General features: G+C 39.4%; 1 protein-coding gene and 1 long non-coding RNA gene across 30 annotated transcripts in view, besides 2 other annotated features; one reads left to right on the forward strand and one right to left on the reverse strand.

The window, feature by feature from the left end:
* Positions 1-4,929, reverse strand: part of SMARCAD1-DT (SMARCAD1 divergent transcript) — an 89,737-nt gene extending 84,808 nt beyond the window's left edge. The window contains exon 1 of the long non-coding RNA NR_125922.1: positions 4,903-4,929. This is a non-coding gene — a long non-coding RNA (SMARCAD1 divergent transcript). The remainder of the gene's footprint in view (positions 1-4,902) is intronic.
* Positions 4,857-5,216: an enhancer, noted in NCBI's record as "active region_21729". NCBI's record gives its function as "activates an Ori minimal core promoter by ATAC-STARR-seq in GM12878 lymphoblastoid cells {active_cell/tissue: GM12878}" and the evidence as "EXISTENCE:reporter gene assay evidence [ECO:0000049][PMID:35858748]".
* SMARCAD1 (SNF2 related chromatin remodeling ATPase with DExD box 1) overlaps positions 4,981-15,391 on the forward strand; it is an 83,685-nt gene continuing 73,274 nt past the window's right edge. For 13 of the 29 annotated variants that reach the window (NR_164736.1, NR_164724.1, NR_164729.1 and 10 more), the window contains exons 1-2: positions 4,981-5,108; positions 5,719-5,957. Coding sequence is in view for 8 of the 29 variants with exons in the window: in NM_001128430.2 (NP_001121902.1) it covers positions 5,768-5,957 (190 nt within the window). In the remaining 21 variants the exon portion in view is untranslated. The other 16 variants (NR_164737.1, NR_164723.1, NR_164733.1 and 13 more) reach the window with 4 other exon arrangements.
* Positions 5,315-5,818: an enhancer, noted in NCBI's record as "NANOG-H3K27ac-H3K4me1 hESC enhancer chr4:95129093-95129596 (GRCh37/hg19 assembly coordinates)". NCBI's record gives its function as "activates a minimal SCP1, AML or CMV promoter by ChIP-STARR-seq in primed H9 embryonic stem cells {active_cell/tissue: H9 hESC(primed)}" and the evidence as "EXISTENCE:reporter gene assay evidence [ECO:0000049][PMID:30033119]".

Genomic DNA, 15,391 nt, shown 5'->3' on the forward strand with positions numbered 1-15,391 from the left:
GCTTATTGCTTTATGCAACTAAAATTTTGTAGTTTGTTATACAACAATAGCTGACTAACACAACATATTTACAATCATTAACTCATGTGTTTAGTCTCAACAGAATGCTTTTACACCATGAATTCACCATATTGAAATTCTCATTTTGACATTGTCAGCTGGATTTATGTCTTTAGGAATATTTTAAGGAAGATATATTTTCAGGAAACTAGAAGTTTGAATTTTTTTCTTCCACAAATGAATATTTGTGATCTAGAAAATTATTGAGTCACAATCGTTTTCCCCAAATCATTATAAATATTGCATCATTACTTTCTGACGTTTAACAAAAAAGCTTTTGCTTGATTTCTTTCCCTTTGTAGGCTGTAGATTTTTTCTGAAAAATGCTTGCAAGACATTTTTTAAATTCTTGAAATTAAAACAAATTCTGCAGGATATTTTTACTGTATAGTCTCTTTCAATTGATTCTGCCTGAATTCACTAAGCTCTTTCACATGCAGACTAAATGAAAGCCCATGAACGTTTTCTATTATGTTTTTCATTATTTCTTTTTTTTTTGGTATGTGTGTGTGAGTATGTATGATTGTTTACACCTATTATTCAAAGCTTCATTCTCACTTCTCTGAATCTTATATTTATCATTTCTTCATATTTCATTGTTTTTTTTTTTTTTTTTTTTGAGATGGAGTCTTGCTCTGTCACCCTTTAAAGCAGTGGCATGATATGGCTCACTGCAACCTTTGCCTCCTGGGTTCAGGCAATTCTCCTGCCTCAGCCTCCTGAGTAGCCAGGGCTACAGGCGTGTGCCACCACGCCTGGCTAATTCATTGATTTCATCTATTGTCTGCAACAGATCTTTCCTTCATGGCTTTCAGAATATACTAACTCTACCAAAACCTTGAGAGTGGAAATCTAGCCTCAGGGACCAAGAGAAAATAAATTTCTGTTGTTTCAGTCATCCAGGCTGTTAATATACCAGCCCTAGCAAACTAATACATACCCTTAAACTTCTACTTCACTTTCAAAGAGAACCCCAATCATGAATCATTATAATTCTCCCAGGTCAATGAAGGTTGCAGAAAAATCCTACCCTTAGAACTGGTCAAAAGGAGTCCCTATCCTGGTCTAGTGCTTTAAAGGGCAAAATCTAGTTCTTTCCAGCTATGCCCTGCCCTAAAGGAATCTTTGGGGCCAAGAAGACGTGTTCATTCAGAACTTGTGCCTTCACTTTTAGACAATAATTTGAGTACCTGGTCCCTAAAATTCTTTGCTCACACAGCCCCAAGAAGTCTAACAGTGACTTTTCCCGAGGTCCTTCCTACTGAGGGCAAACAGTGCTTTCAGTATCTATAACCCTAGGCCAAAAATGTAGCCAAAAGGCCCCAAGGTCCAAGAGGTGACAAAGGAGTGGGAGAGCAGTAAGTTTGCCAAATAAAATACAAGACAACTTGTTAAATTTGAGTTTCAGATAAACAACAAATAATGTCTTAGTATCAGTTCCAAGTATTTCATCAGACAAATTTATACTAAGAATGTATTCATTGTTTATTTAAAATTCAAATTTAACTGTACATCCCTTTTTTAAAAAAAACAAATATGGTAACCCTAGTTGGGGGCCAGAGTTGGGTGTCCATATGCTGGGCATCTATGTGCATAAGCACATGGCCCATTATGATATCGTTATTGATACCATTAGTATCAAATTGTGTATGAAAAGGTGACACTAGCAAGGCAGGATATATGAGCCAATCAATTCTCTTTCATTAACCCACATTCTGACACAATAGAAATTCTAAATTCAACCTGGCTTCCCTGGTATTTTCAAAATAGGAAGAACATATTTAACTTTTACACTTTGTTGGCTATATTTATAATGTTTAAATATTTAGACATTTTTAATTTATGTGGTTCATTTTCAATCTTGTCCCAGCTATAACGTCAAGAGGTGGTACTGTTGCAGAAAAGCACTCTAAGCGTCAATATTATTGTTAATCACATTTAAAGAATGATGAAAGTAAGACTTAGAAAGGTCATTCAGCTAGAGGAGTCCATTTTCAATGTCAGATCTCTCTAAATAGAAATCAAATTGTCTTCATCACCAAAAATAATTTACTACTTACAAGTAAATATATATTTTTTTCTTTTCTTTTTCTTTCAATCATGGCTCACTGCAGCCTTGATGCCCCCAACCCGCCTCCCCCCACCCCCACCACCAGGCCAACATGGCAAAACCCCATCTCTACAAAAAATGCAAAAATTAGTCAGGCATGGAGACAAGTACCTGTAGTTCCAGCTACTTGGGAGGCTGAGATGGGAGGATCGCTTGAGCCTGGGAAGTCAAGGCTACAGTGAGCCACAATTGAACCACTGAACTCCAGCCTGGGTGACAGAGTGAGACCCTGTCTCAAAAAAAAAAAAAAGAGAGATGAAGTCTCCCTTTGTTGCCCAGGCTGGTCTTGAACTCTTGGCCACAAGTGATCCTCCCACCTCAGTCTCCCAAAGTGCTAGAATTACAGGCATGAGCCGCTGTGCCTGGCCATAAGTAAATATATTCTTTGATCACATAATTTAATATGCATGCATAAAACTAATGCATTTCATGGGATATTAAAGATAGGTATAAAGGAAGTCCTAATTGTTCAGGCTTTGATCTTGAGTTTTATTGGCCCAGACACCTGATTTTATAAATGTGCCCACATTTGATAAAACTGTGGGTATGTGTTGTAAATATACAATTCACAACACTGACTTATAAAACAAACTGGCAATTTAAGTTTACAATGGCTAATATATCTGGCAGAATGATCATTTGTAGCAATTCCTCTTTATGGGAAATGCCAACCAGAAGCTCAAATTATAACTCAGAAAATTGCTTGTCTAATGTTGGAACAAAGGGAGTATATCTTAGTTTTTTGTTTTTTTGAGACAGGGTCTTGCTCTGTCACCCAGGCCAGAGTGCAGTGGTGCAAACATGGCTCACTGCAGCCTCGACCTCCCAGGCTCAAGTGATCCTCCTGCCTCAGCCCCCAAAGTAGCTGGGACTACAGACGTGTGCCATCATGCCTGGATAACTTTGTATTTTTTTTAGAGATGGGGTCTCACTATGTTGCCCCAGCTCTGCCTTGGCCTCCCAAAGTGCTGGGATAACAGACGTGAGCCACTGCTCCTAGCCCAGGAGTATATATTCTTTGTTTTTTTGAGATGGAGTTGCCCAGGCTGGAGTGCAATGGCGTGATCTCGGCTCACTGCAAGCTCCGCCTCCCTGGTTCATGCCATTCTCCTGCCTCAGCCTCCCGAGTAGGTAGGACTACAGGCGCCCGCCACCACGCCCGGCTAATTTTTTGTATTTTTAGTTGAGACGGGGTTTCACCGTGTTGGCCAGGATGGTCTCGATCTCCTGACCTCATGATCCGCCCGCCTCCACCTCCCAAAGTGCTGGGATTACAGGCGTGAGCCACTGCGCCCGGCCAGGAGTATATATTCTTAAGCTAACATTTCCATCAAGATAGGTGAATTATATGCAAAAGAAAGGAAATCAGTGTATCGAAATGATATCTGCATTCTCATGTTTGTTGCAGCACTATTCACAACAGCCAAGATTTGGAAGCAACTTAAGTGTCCATTAACAGGTGAATGAATAAGAAAAATGTGGTGCATATACACAGTGGAGTATTATTTCGCCATTAAAAAAAATGAGATCCTGTCATTTGCAACATGGATGGAACTGGAGGTCATTATATTAAAGGAAATAAGGCAGGCACAGAAAAAAAACTTGGTATGTTCTCATTTATTATATTTGTGGGAGCTAAAAAATTAAAACAATTGAACGTATGAGAAACGGTAGAACGATGGCTACCAGAGGCTGGGAAGGGTAGTGTGGGGCGGGGGAGGACCCCGGTGGTCGGTGAGCATGGTTAATGGGTACGAAAATACAGTTTGAATGAATAAGATCTAGTATTTGATAGCACAATAGCATGACTACAGTCAACAACAATTTATTGTACTTTTTTTTTTGAGACAAGAGTCTTGCTTTGTTGCCCAGGGTGGAGTGCAGTGGAGTGATCTCGGCTAACTGCAACCTCCGCATCCCAGGTTCAAGCTATTCTCCTGCCTCAGCCTCCCGATTAGCTGAGATTACAGGCGCCCGCCACTACGCCCGGCTAATTTTTTGTATATTTAGCAGAGACGGAGTTTCACCATGTTGGCTAGGCTGGTCTCAAACTCCTGACCTTGTGATTCACCTGCCTCAGCCCCCCAAAGTGCTGGGATTACAGGCGTGAGCCACCACTCCCAGCTTATTGTACATTTTTAAATGACTAAAATAACTGGATTGTTTGAAACACAAAGGATAAATGCTTGTTATGGATACCCCACTTACCCTGATATGATTATTACACATTGCATGCCTGTATCAAAATATCTCATGTACCCTATAAATATGTACACCTACTATGTACCCGCAAACATTAAAAATTAAAATATTTTTAAAAAATTAATTAATTAATCAAATTCCATTCTAAGAACAATCAAGCCGAAAGTGAGGAATTACTTTAAATGCTTTGAAGCTCAGCATCCCGGGGTTCTTATCCGTCACTAATTACCTATACATTTGCAGGTCTCAGTTTCTTTGCTTTGTAAACATAGGCTTCTTGTAAGGATTGGGATTATACACTGAAAAAGCTTAGCACAGTATTATTACTATTATGCTATCTACATTATATTATAGGTGAAACACTACAGATTATAATACATACAATATATACTAATTGTATTATATATTGTTATTTTTTGTCATTATGCTATTTACTATTGTTCTATTTAATAACTCTCTAGATAATTTAACAGGACAAAGGTACAGAACAATCTGGCCCTTACAAGCCGGCGGAGACGGGTACGAATTACCATGACAACAGCGCGCGCCTCGACATTGTCGGCTCGCGCGTTGTTTGGGAAGAAAAAGCCTAGGCTGCGTGTTGCGTCATCATTACGCGCTCTTAAGGTTTCTCCGTGGTGTTTTGGAAGGTCCCGGCACGGCTACCGTCGCCCCACGCTAGGAAATTTTTTTTTTATTTTCAACCTTTGTTACATAGCACTGAGGCTACAAGATCGTAAGTACTGAGGGAAGAAAGAACAAGCGAGCGATTGAACGTTAAAAAGATGCCTTAGCATGCACTCCACCTCTGAACCTTCCTGTGTGTTCTTAATCCTATCAGCTTCCTCTCAGCTGGGATCGCGCCGCGTCAACTTCCGGGCGGATGCCCGCCAGCACGGCCTCCGCCGCTCCCCTTCTTTGGCCCCTTTGTGTCCCCGCAGTGTCGAGGCGCGGGCCCTGGCAGGTCCTTTCTCGAGGCAGGGGGCACGGTAGCACAGGGAGCTTCTCTTTGTGGGCGGGCGCGAGGCCCGCTAGGGGGTTATACTGGGGAACGTGCCTGCGCGTGCTTGGGTAAGAGGAGGTTGCATGAGGGTCAGCTCGTGGTTTCAGTAAGGAGGGGCGGGCGGGGGAGGCGGACGAAGGGGAGTGAAAAGCAATGGAAAATTTTAAAAGATACCCCCGTCCACCTTCTAATTGTTGCGGCCTAACAATGAAGCGCAGCCATAACAGTCCTGAGCCACTGGCATGTTTGCGGGCCCTTTATTGCCTTGGGAATAAACTGCTGTGGCATTGTATCGTATATTGTTTTCATGGCCTTTTTTCCTCTCTTTATTTTTCCCCTGCAGATAGTTCATTTAAAGCCCCCATCCCTGCAAGGTGGTGCTTTCTACCAATATGAATCTTTTCAACCTGGACCGTTTTCGCTTTGAGAAAAGGAATAAGATTGAGGAAGCGCCCGAAGCAACCCCTCAACCTTCCCAGCCTGGCCCTTCTTCACCAATTTCTCTTAGTGCTGAAGAGGAGAATGCTGAAGGGGAAGTTAGCAGGGCAAACACTCCTGATTCAGATATAACTGAAAAAACAGGTGAGTTACAATGTTAAAATTGATGTAACATCAAGGACAGTTTTTAAAAGATGAAAGGCAGAAGGGATTCTCATTTTTATTCTTGATGTCATATATATTGATGCATTGTCCTGCGGTGTGCCCTTTTAAATACAGCTTTGGGACTGCCATAAGCACCATGTACCCTCAACTGAGCATCCATCCATTGTCGCCTCACTTTTATATGAGTTCTTCGAATATGGCCCCATGGTGGAAGTTGAAATTAGAATTTAGGGCATCCATAGGTCAGAACGGTTGCTATTGGAAGAGCGATGTCAGTGATTCAGTCCTATGATAAACTTTGAGGCTATTTGGGCAGACATTTTCATTCATTCCAGTATTCCCTCAAAATATTGATCATCTACTGTGAGCTAGACATTGAGCAAGGTGCCTAAAGACAACCTCTGTACACAAGGGAAGATCAGATCACATCAAGTTCTTGCATCCACCTGACTTCCTGGATGTCCTCAGAATGCAAATGAGTAATTGGTATTCTTCATGGTGAATGAACATTTTTAACCTCATCAGCAGATTGTCAGAGACAAAAGTATTTGAGGATAAGCCAAAAATTAAGATTTCCACTCGAATCTATGTTCATTGAACAGTTAACTATTAGAGGAATATATTTGAGCTCTTGTTGTATTATAGGAATAGTGATAAGTGCTTCACCTTCTGTCATTTAATTTGCACAATAATCCTACAAGGTAGATATTACTGACATAGAGGTTAATGTGAAATGAGATTCAGAGAGGTTATTAGGAACTTGGTAGAGCCTGAACTCAAGTCCTGGCAGTATGATTCCTGAGCATAAACTAATTAGTTAGTTTCTTAGGAAAGGTGAAAGGAATGTTGGAAGTTATATTTTAATATTTATTTCAGTAATATCTTTTTTTATGCAAAACTCTGTTTCGTAAACAGCTTTTAACTTAATGTAGCCTGAAAGATTGGTAACACACATGTTTATCCTTGGTATCTTTTTGTTTGCCACCCTTCTACTTAAATGTAATAATGATGGCAGATCCTCTGCAAGTTATCATTAGAATAACATTTTTAAATACTTTGGTGTAATTGGAAATTGGCAGAATGATTTGGTAGATTGGATTAGGAGTCAGATTTACAAAGGCTTTGTCTAAGTAGTTTTGAATTTAAATGCTATAGGGAACAACTGAAGGATTTTAAGCACCAGGATTTTAATCCCTGTGTTCACTCTTTGAATAGATATTTGACATCCAGGTATTTTAATGCTTTTCCAATGAATATATTTGTCTGTTTCCTCTGTAGTTAGATAGTTCAGGAAAGCCAAGGTGTAGACATGGGATTTCGAGTCCATAGAAGCTTCTGCTTCTTCATTTTTGTTAAATGTGGGACATTAGACAAGTCATTTGAAATCTGTGATCCACACTTTTTTCATCTCTGAAAGTGAAAGCAGTTTGTAAACTGGATTTCAGTGGAATGTTTTAGTTATTTATCAGTATTGGTCATGTGAAATCTTTAATTTCCTTTAGTGATCAGAAGATATTTTTCTGTTTTTATTTCTTTCTAATGATAACACTCATTTTCTCTTTATTGGGACTTTTTTCCATACATAAATTCTGCTTAAAAACTGAGATTGCTTTAGGAATTACATGATCAGCCTTGATGGCTTCGGGAAATAAGAAAACTAAGTTTGTTCTAGGAATGTTGAGAATTAATCCTTGTAGGAATGGAGCACTTTGCTTTAATAAAAGATTGTTTTAAATGATACTGTGAATTTTGGAGAATCTTGAAAACTGAGAAGTTTAGATTTTACATTGTAAGTATTAGATATCCATTGAAGAACTTACAGAGTGAATGGAAAATGGTGAAAGAAAGTTTTAAAAGTCAGTTTAGCAGTAGTGACTAGTACACACTGATTGAGGGTAGGGATTGAAGGGAAAGAAAACATTTAGGCAACTCCTGTAATTGAGCTTAATGATAGCGGTAGAAATGGAGAAGAAAGAGATATGAGAGGTTTCAAAGTAATGAAGGGCAGGGTTTAGATCCCTGATGGGAATGAGATAAGATGAATGGTAAGATTTTTATGCGCGGTGGCTGAAGCCTGTAATCCCAGCACTTTGGGATGCAAAGGTGGGCAAATCACCTGAGATCACAAGACCAGCCTGGCCAACATAGTGAAACCCCGTCTCTACTAAAAATACAAAAATTAGCCAGGCATGGTGGAGCGTGCCTGTAATCCCTGCTGCTCAGGAGGCTGAGGCACAAGAATTGCTTGAACCTGGGAGGCAGAGGTTGCAGTGAGCCTAGATCACACCACTGCACTCCAGCCTGGGGGACAGAGACTGTATCTCAAAAAAAAAAAAAAAAAAAAAGGTAAATGTCTTTAAGAATTCAAATAAGAATCGAAGGTCTGGCTGGGCACAGTGGATCACCCCTGTAATCCCAGCACTTTGGGAGGCTGAGGCGGGCTGATCAGCTGAGGTTGGAAGTTCAAGACCAGCCTGACCAACATGGAGAAACCCCGTTTCTACTAAAAATATAAAATTAGCTGGGCATGGTGGTACATGCCTGTAATCCCAGCTACTCGGGAGGCTGAAGCAGGAGAATCACTTGAACCCTGGAGGTGGAGGTTGCAGTGAGCCGAGATTGTGCCATTGCACTCCAGCCTGGGCAACAAGAGCAAAACTCCATGTCAAAATAAATAAATAAATAAGAATAAAAATCAAAGGTCCTGCCCCCAAGTGCTAATTTAGCCTGGGGTCTAGGGATTGCTGAGGAAGTGGGGATTCAGAATTGAGTGTTGGATCTCTGGAGAGGACAAGATACTGAAGTTAGATTTTAAGGTCAGGACTGGAGATGAAAATTGGTGAATTATAAATAGGATGTGACTATTGACCTTACTTCTTTATCATGTGGTAACTTTTCATACTCCCATTGTGGGATAATGCTGCGTTAGTTTATTTACAGTAAAGTGTCAGGTCAAACTAAGTCAGCTTACAGGACAGAAATTGTATGTAGTCAAAATTACCTGTAATCACTCTTTTTGACTAATCCTGTTATTTTATCTAGTGAGTTGACTTCATTTCCTATGACCCTCCTTCAGTTACTGTGCCACCACCACATTGTTTCTTGAATCTTTCAAGCAAGGTCCCATCTTTGCTTCTTCCAATTTGCTTTTTTGCCTGGAAGACTCTTCCTGCTGATATTTGCATATGACTCAGATGCTTTGTTTCATTAAATCTCAGTAAAATGTCACCTTTTTAAGAAGACCTTCCTTGATCACCCTGTGAAATAGCCACCCACCCCAGCCCACCCTACCCCAGCTTTACTGTTATTTTTCTTCATAGTATTTATCACTAGCTAACCTTTCATTATGTAGTTGTGTATCACTAGCTAACATTACATTATATAGTTGTGACTCCCTTGTTAGAACATATGATTCATGAGAGCAGGACCTTATCTGTTGTGTTCACCTATTTATCTCCATTGTTCAGGGCAACGACTGGCTTGTCGTAGGCCCTCAATAAGTGCATTGAAGTAAATATTATTGCATGATGAGTGGGCATTATTAGTACTTTATACATTTTTTAAAATTTATTTATTATTTATTTGTTTTTAGACAATCTCACTGTGTGGCCCAGGCTAGAGTGCAGTGGCAGAATCTTGGCTCACTGCAACCTCTACCTCCTGGGTTCAAGTGATTCTCATACCTCAGCCTCCCGAGGAGCTGCGACTACAGGCTCATGCCACCATGCCCGGCTAATTTTTGTATTTTCTGTAGAGACGGCATTTCGCTATGTTGACCAGGCTAGTGTCAAACTCCTGACGTCAAGTGATCCACGTGCCTTGGCCTCTGAAAGTGCTAGGATTATAGGCATGAGCCACCACGCCCAGCCCTATACATATTTATTTATTATTATTTTTTTGAGATGGAGTCTTGCTCTGTTACCTAGGCTGGAGTGCAGTGGCACAATCTCGGCTCACTGCAACCTCTGCCTCCTGGGTTCAAGCAATTCTCCTGCCTCAGCCTCCCAAGTAGCTGAGACTACAGGTGCACACCACCACAGCCGGCTAATTTTTGTATTTTTAGTAGAGACAGGGTTTCACCATGTTAGCCAGGCTAGTCTCAAACTCCTGACTTCAGGCTATCTGCCTGCCTTGGCCTCCCAAAGTGCTGGGATTACAGACATGAGCCACCACACCTTTATTTTAAAATAGGACCTTAAAATAGTCCCTTTAGCCATCAGGTGTTCTTTGGCCATGGTTGCTTGAAGCTTCTTTTGGTACAGGACATCCTCCCTAATGCCCCTCTAAATCCCAGCCAGCCTTTGGATTTGAGGGCATACACTTAACCTCTGCCCCCTGATTTATTTTACTCTTCTCGGTGCCCAAAGTTGTCAATGATTGTTATTTACACATTATTTCTCCTTTTTTTCTTTGACTTTTGGGAGTACAGTGAGTTTGGAGGGATTGAAATAATGGCAGGTGAAAGGGAAGAGAGATCCTACTATATTTTATGAATAAAGAATAAAAATGAGTGAAGCCTGATCCTCCAAGAGCACCAGGAGAAAATGGTATGTAAATATATAGTTAAAATAGTATGGTGTGATAAAACCATATAATAGGGCAAAATACTAAGCAAAGTAGAATCACTATCTGTAATTCACAAATGATTGAATTATCCATTCTTCAGGGGAGGATCACAAAAAGTCACAGAGATATGACCTTTGGAGTGGACTCTAAACAATGAAATCATTGTTTACTGGGTGAACAAATGATGAGAGAGTTGAAAATATATGTTGCCTCCAAGAGTCTAATATGTGTGTGGAGGGTTGGGGGCAGATTATAGAACAGGAGGTTTTAGACAATATAGATGAAACTGAAAAGATAGAAGTGTAAACCATTGGGTTGTGAGGGGCCTTTATATCCTGTGTCAGGGACGGTAGATCTTATTTGGTACACATCATAGAGCATTTCATTATGGAAATGCTATTAGTGAAGCTGTTGTATTCATTGAAGCCTCAATGTAGGGAAATGACTGTAGAGATGACAGAGGAGGCAACTGAGGGGAGTTGTAAATGATACGCATTTGATGATATTAGGTGATCAGTTGAATGTGGAGGATTTACAGATAACTCAAATGTTCCTTGCTTGGACAGCTGGAGGATTGACACCATGGACTGAATTAAGAGGTGAGTTTAGGAGAAAGATACTAAAAATTATGTTGTGTTTGCATTACCCATCCTATTTTAGTACCAAGGTAGTAGATGGTTGAATATTAGAGCTCAGAGAGTGGTCTAAACCCTAGAACTTGGGACTCATCAATGTCCTAAGCAGGGTGTACAATAAAAAACATCATTTGACAATGGGCAGGAAAACCAATGAAAAATTTGAAGGATGACTAGAATAGTCATAGAAAATGATAGTGTCCTGGATACCTAAATACCTAGTTTGGTATTTAGTTGTCTAGTAACAAATCCTGTAGAGAAGTCAAGTTGAGTGGGGACTGATCAGTGACCAGTTTCCTTGGAATTAAAAGTAACTACTAACCTTTAACAGTTTCAGTAGAATGGTGATGAGATAGAGATTATTCATTCAGGAAAGGAAAGAGAGAAATAGGTAACCTGATTGGGAAGTAATGTCAAGAAAATATGTTTCAGGATTATTGAAAATTGAGCGTTCTTTTGTTTTTTTTTTTTTTTTTGAGACAGTTTCACTCTGTCACCCAGGCTGGAGTGCAGTGGCGCAATCTCAACTCACTGCAATCTCTGCTCTCGGGTTCATGCCATTCTTCTGCTTCAGCCTCCTGAGTAGCTGGGACTACAGGTGCCCGCCACCACGCCGGGCTAATTTTTTTTTTTTGTATTTTTAGTAGAGACCCGGTTTCACCGTATTAGCCAGGATGGTCTCAATCTCCTGACTTGAGATCTGCCCGCCTCGGCCTCCTAAAGTGCTGGGATTACAGGCATGAGCCACCGCACCTGGCCAAGCGTTTGTTAACCAAGGACAAGAAGCTAGTGGAGAGGGAAGGACTGAGGGAGGGAGGTATCTGAAGAGAGGCATCAAGTGATGAGAACTGAAGAACAGTTGGACTGTTTAACTGTGCAAAAGAATAAAGACATATTTTCCCTGGGGGGGATAATTGAAGGAGATAAAAATAGATGGGTTCATAGATTATTTTGGCATTGGCGGAATGGAGGAAAGTTTTAGTATATGTTTGATGAATTTTTTTTTTTTTGCTGAAATAGATTTAGTCCTCTAGAGTGGTTGCCTTTTCAAGGTGGTTGTCATATTGAAAGTAGCACTTGTTGATAAGTGAGAGACATTTTTAAAACTATACCAGTCGTCAGAAAGATTTCCTGAGAGTATTGCTCTGCCACATACAGATTGTATGATCTTGAGTAAAAAGTCAACTGTTTGGGTCTTACAGTCTTCTCCTGGCTTTGCTTAGTTTTCTGTATTCCTTGCCCACATTAAAATGGTTATTATCCTTTGAATGATGATACTGAATGTATCATTTTAGCTTCATAATTCCGTGACCATTGCGCAATACTCAGTCTTTTTGTAGGTGTCTGTGGCCAAAATGTGAGCCATCGTTAAACCTGTAGATAGTCATTGTGGTTTCTTAATGTCTGTTAATGTTAATTGAAAAGCAATACTTAGTTAAAGGGTTAGTGCTGAATTGTTGTAACAGAAAGTACAATAAGTACTCAAAAGTAAGTAGGAATCTTAAGTGCATTTTAAATGTGCATGTATTTGGCTGGGCACAGTGGCTCATGCCTGTAGAGTCGCAGCACTTTGGGAGGCCGAGGCAGGAGGATTGCTTGAGACCAGGAGTTCAAGACCAGCTTGGGCAATGTAGTGAGACCCTGTCTCTACAAAAAATGAAAAAATTAGTCAGGTGTGGTGGTGTGCACCTGTAGTCCTAGCCACTTGGGAGGTTGAGACAGAAGAATTGATTGAGCCCAGGAGTTTGAGGTTATGGTAAGCTGTGATCACTACACTACATTCCAGCCTGGGCAACAGAGTGAGATTCTGTCCCAAAAAGGGGGGTGGGGGGGAGGAGGGGGATAGAAATATTATTTTAGTCATTGTCACTTCACCCTACACACAAATTTCACTAGTTTGTATCAGACTACATCTTGGTTTTGATGTCTGCTTTTTCATACCTGTCTAAAATATTGCAGACCTTTATTATCTTTAATAAGCTAATAGGCAAAAGTATGTTATTGTTGCTTTTTCTTTATTTTTTAGTTTAAGTATGTTTTCATAAATTTACTAGCCATTTGGATTTTTTGTGTTTCTTTATGCTTTTCTGTTTTTCTAATACATGTCTCTCCGATAAATTATTTGTAAGTATATCTTAAATTCCACGTGTCTTAGTCTGTTAGAACTGCTGTAACTACCATGAACCGGGTAGCTTATAAGCAATAGAAATCTACTCTTGGCAATTCTGGAGGCTGGGAAGTCCAAAATCAAGGTGCTGCAAGATTAGGTATCTCAGGGCCCTATTCCTAGACCACAATCTTTTAACCCCATGTGGCTGAATGAGTGAGGGGTCTCTTGGGCCTCTTTTATAAGGGCACTAATCCCATTCATGAGTGCTCTGCCCCCATCACCTAATACCCCTTCCTCCCTCCAGCAAATGTCACCTCCTAATACCATTACCATAATGGTTAAGATTTCAACATACCGTTTTGGGGAGTGGGGCACAAACAGACCATAGCACCCCCTTTGTTGTTTGCCATAGAAAAATTTTAGATTTTTATGTGGTCACCTTGTTCATCCTTTCCTCTAAGTCTTCTGCATTCCGCATTACCACACTATAAATATACTCATTCATATTTTCCTCTAGTATGTCTGTTAATTTTAAAAATTATGATAAAATACACATAAGAAAATTTACCATCTCAACCATTTTTAAGTGTACAGTTCAGTACATTCAGTTCAATACATATACATTGTCATGCAACTATTCTCCAGCACTCTTTTCATCTTGTGAAACTGAAACTCTTTATGCATTGAACAACTACTCCTCATTTCTGATTCCCCCAGCCCCCGGCAACTACCGTTTACGTTGTCTTTTTATGAATTTGACTATTCTAAGTATCTCATTAAAGTGGAATCATCACTTAGCATAACATCCCCAGGATCCATCCATGTTGTAGCATATATCAGAATTTCCTTCCTTTTTAAGACTGAATAATATTTCACTGTGTGTATATACACATTTTGTTTATCCATTCATCCATCAATGGGCACTTGGATTGCCTCCACATCTTGGCTGTTTGAATTGTATTGCAGTAAACATGAATGTGTAAATATTCTCTTTGAAACCCTGCTTTCAGTTCTTTTGGTTGTATACCCAGAAGTGGTATTGCTGGATCATATAGTAATTCTATTTTTAATTTTTTGCGGAACCTCCATACCGTTTTCCATAGGTGCTCCACCATTTTACATTTCTGCCAACAGTGTGGTGGGTTCCAGTTTCTCCACATCCTCTCCAACCTTGTTATTTCCTGTGTTTTTGATAATAGCCAACATAATGGACATGAGTTTGTATCTCACTTTGGGTTTCGTGTTGATTTTTAACTTTAAATCTCCTCTGAATTTTATTTCATTATAGGGACTAAAGAAAGGGTGATATCGTTTTCTCCTTTGTTCATTATTCACCAGTTACTAGTCAGTTTTTCATTTATTGAAAAATCCTTTTTCTTACATTAAAATGTCATCATTATAGTCTAAAATTCCCATGTTTGTTTGCATCTTTGGGTCTGTTAATCTGTTCCTCTAATCTTAATTTACCAGATTATTTTAATTTTTATAGTGTCATATATATGATGTATCCTAGATTTTGATGTGTTTTTGTTGTTGTTGTTTTCTCTTTGACCTGAAAGTTGTTTAGAAGCCATTTTTATGAGGTTTTGTCTCTTTTTAAAAAATTTCCAACTGGCAGAAATTTTGCTTGCATATTTTTGTTAACATTTACTTCTAATTTCACTGTTTTGTGACCAGAGAATGTGGTCTGTAGTATTTCTTCTTTGGGGGAAATTAACTCAGATTTTCTTTGTGGCCTAATATTTAATTTCTGTAAAAATTCAAGGGTGCTTGGAAAGAAAACATAATCTAAGTACAGATTTAATTATATGTCGAATAATAGATGAGTTTTATTATATCTTTGTTTTTCAAACTGGATCATAAACATTTATTGTGTCATAAAATCAATTTCTTGGGTCCTGACTAAATATGTATAACTACAATTTTTAATGGAGTAGAACAAATAGAAAATTATCAAAGTGTATTGCTTATAGTAAGAGCTGCTCACATTTTCTTTCAGTTACACTTGCAAATCTAACAATCTGTGTGCTTAGTATCATAATCTGAAATATGTCTCTCACAGTGGGTTTCAGTCAAAAATGTTTGAAAAACACTGTTCTACA

The sequence above is a fragment of the Homo sapiens genome, chromosome 4, assembly GCF_000001405.40.
Source record: "Homo sapiens chromosome 4, GRCh38.p14 Primary Assembly".
Classification (NCBI taxonomy): Eukaryota; Metazoa; Chordata; class Mammalia; order Primates; family Hominidae; genus Homo; species Homo sapiens.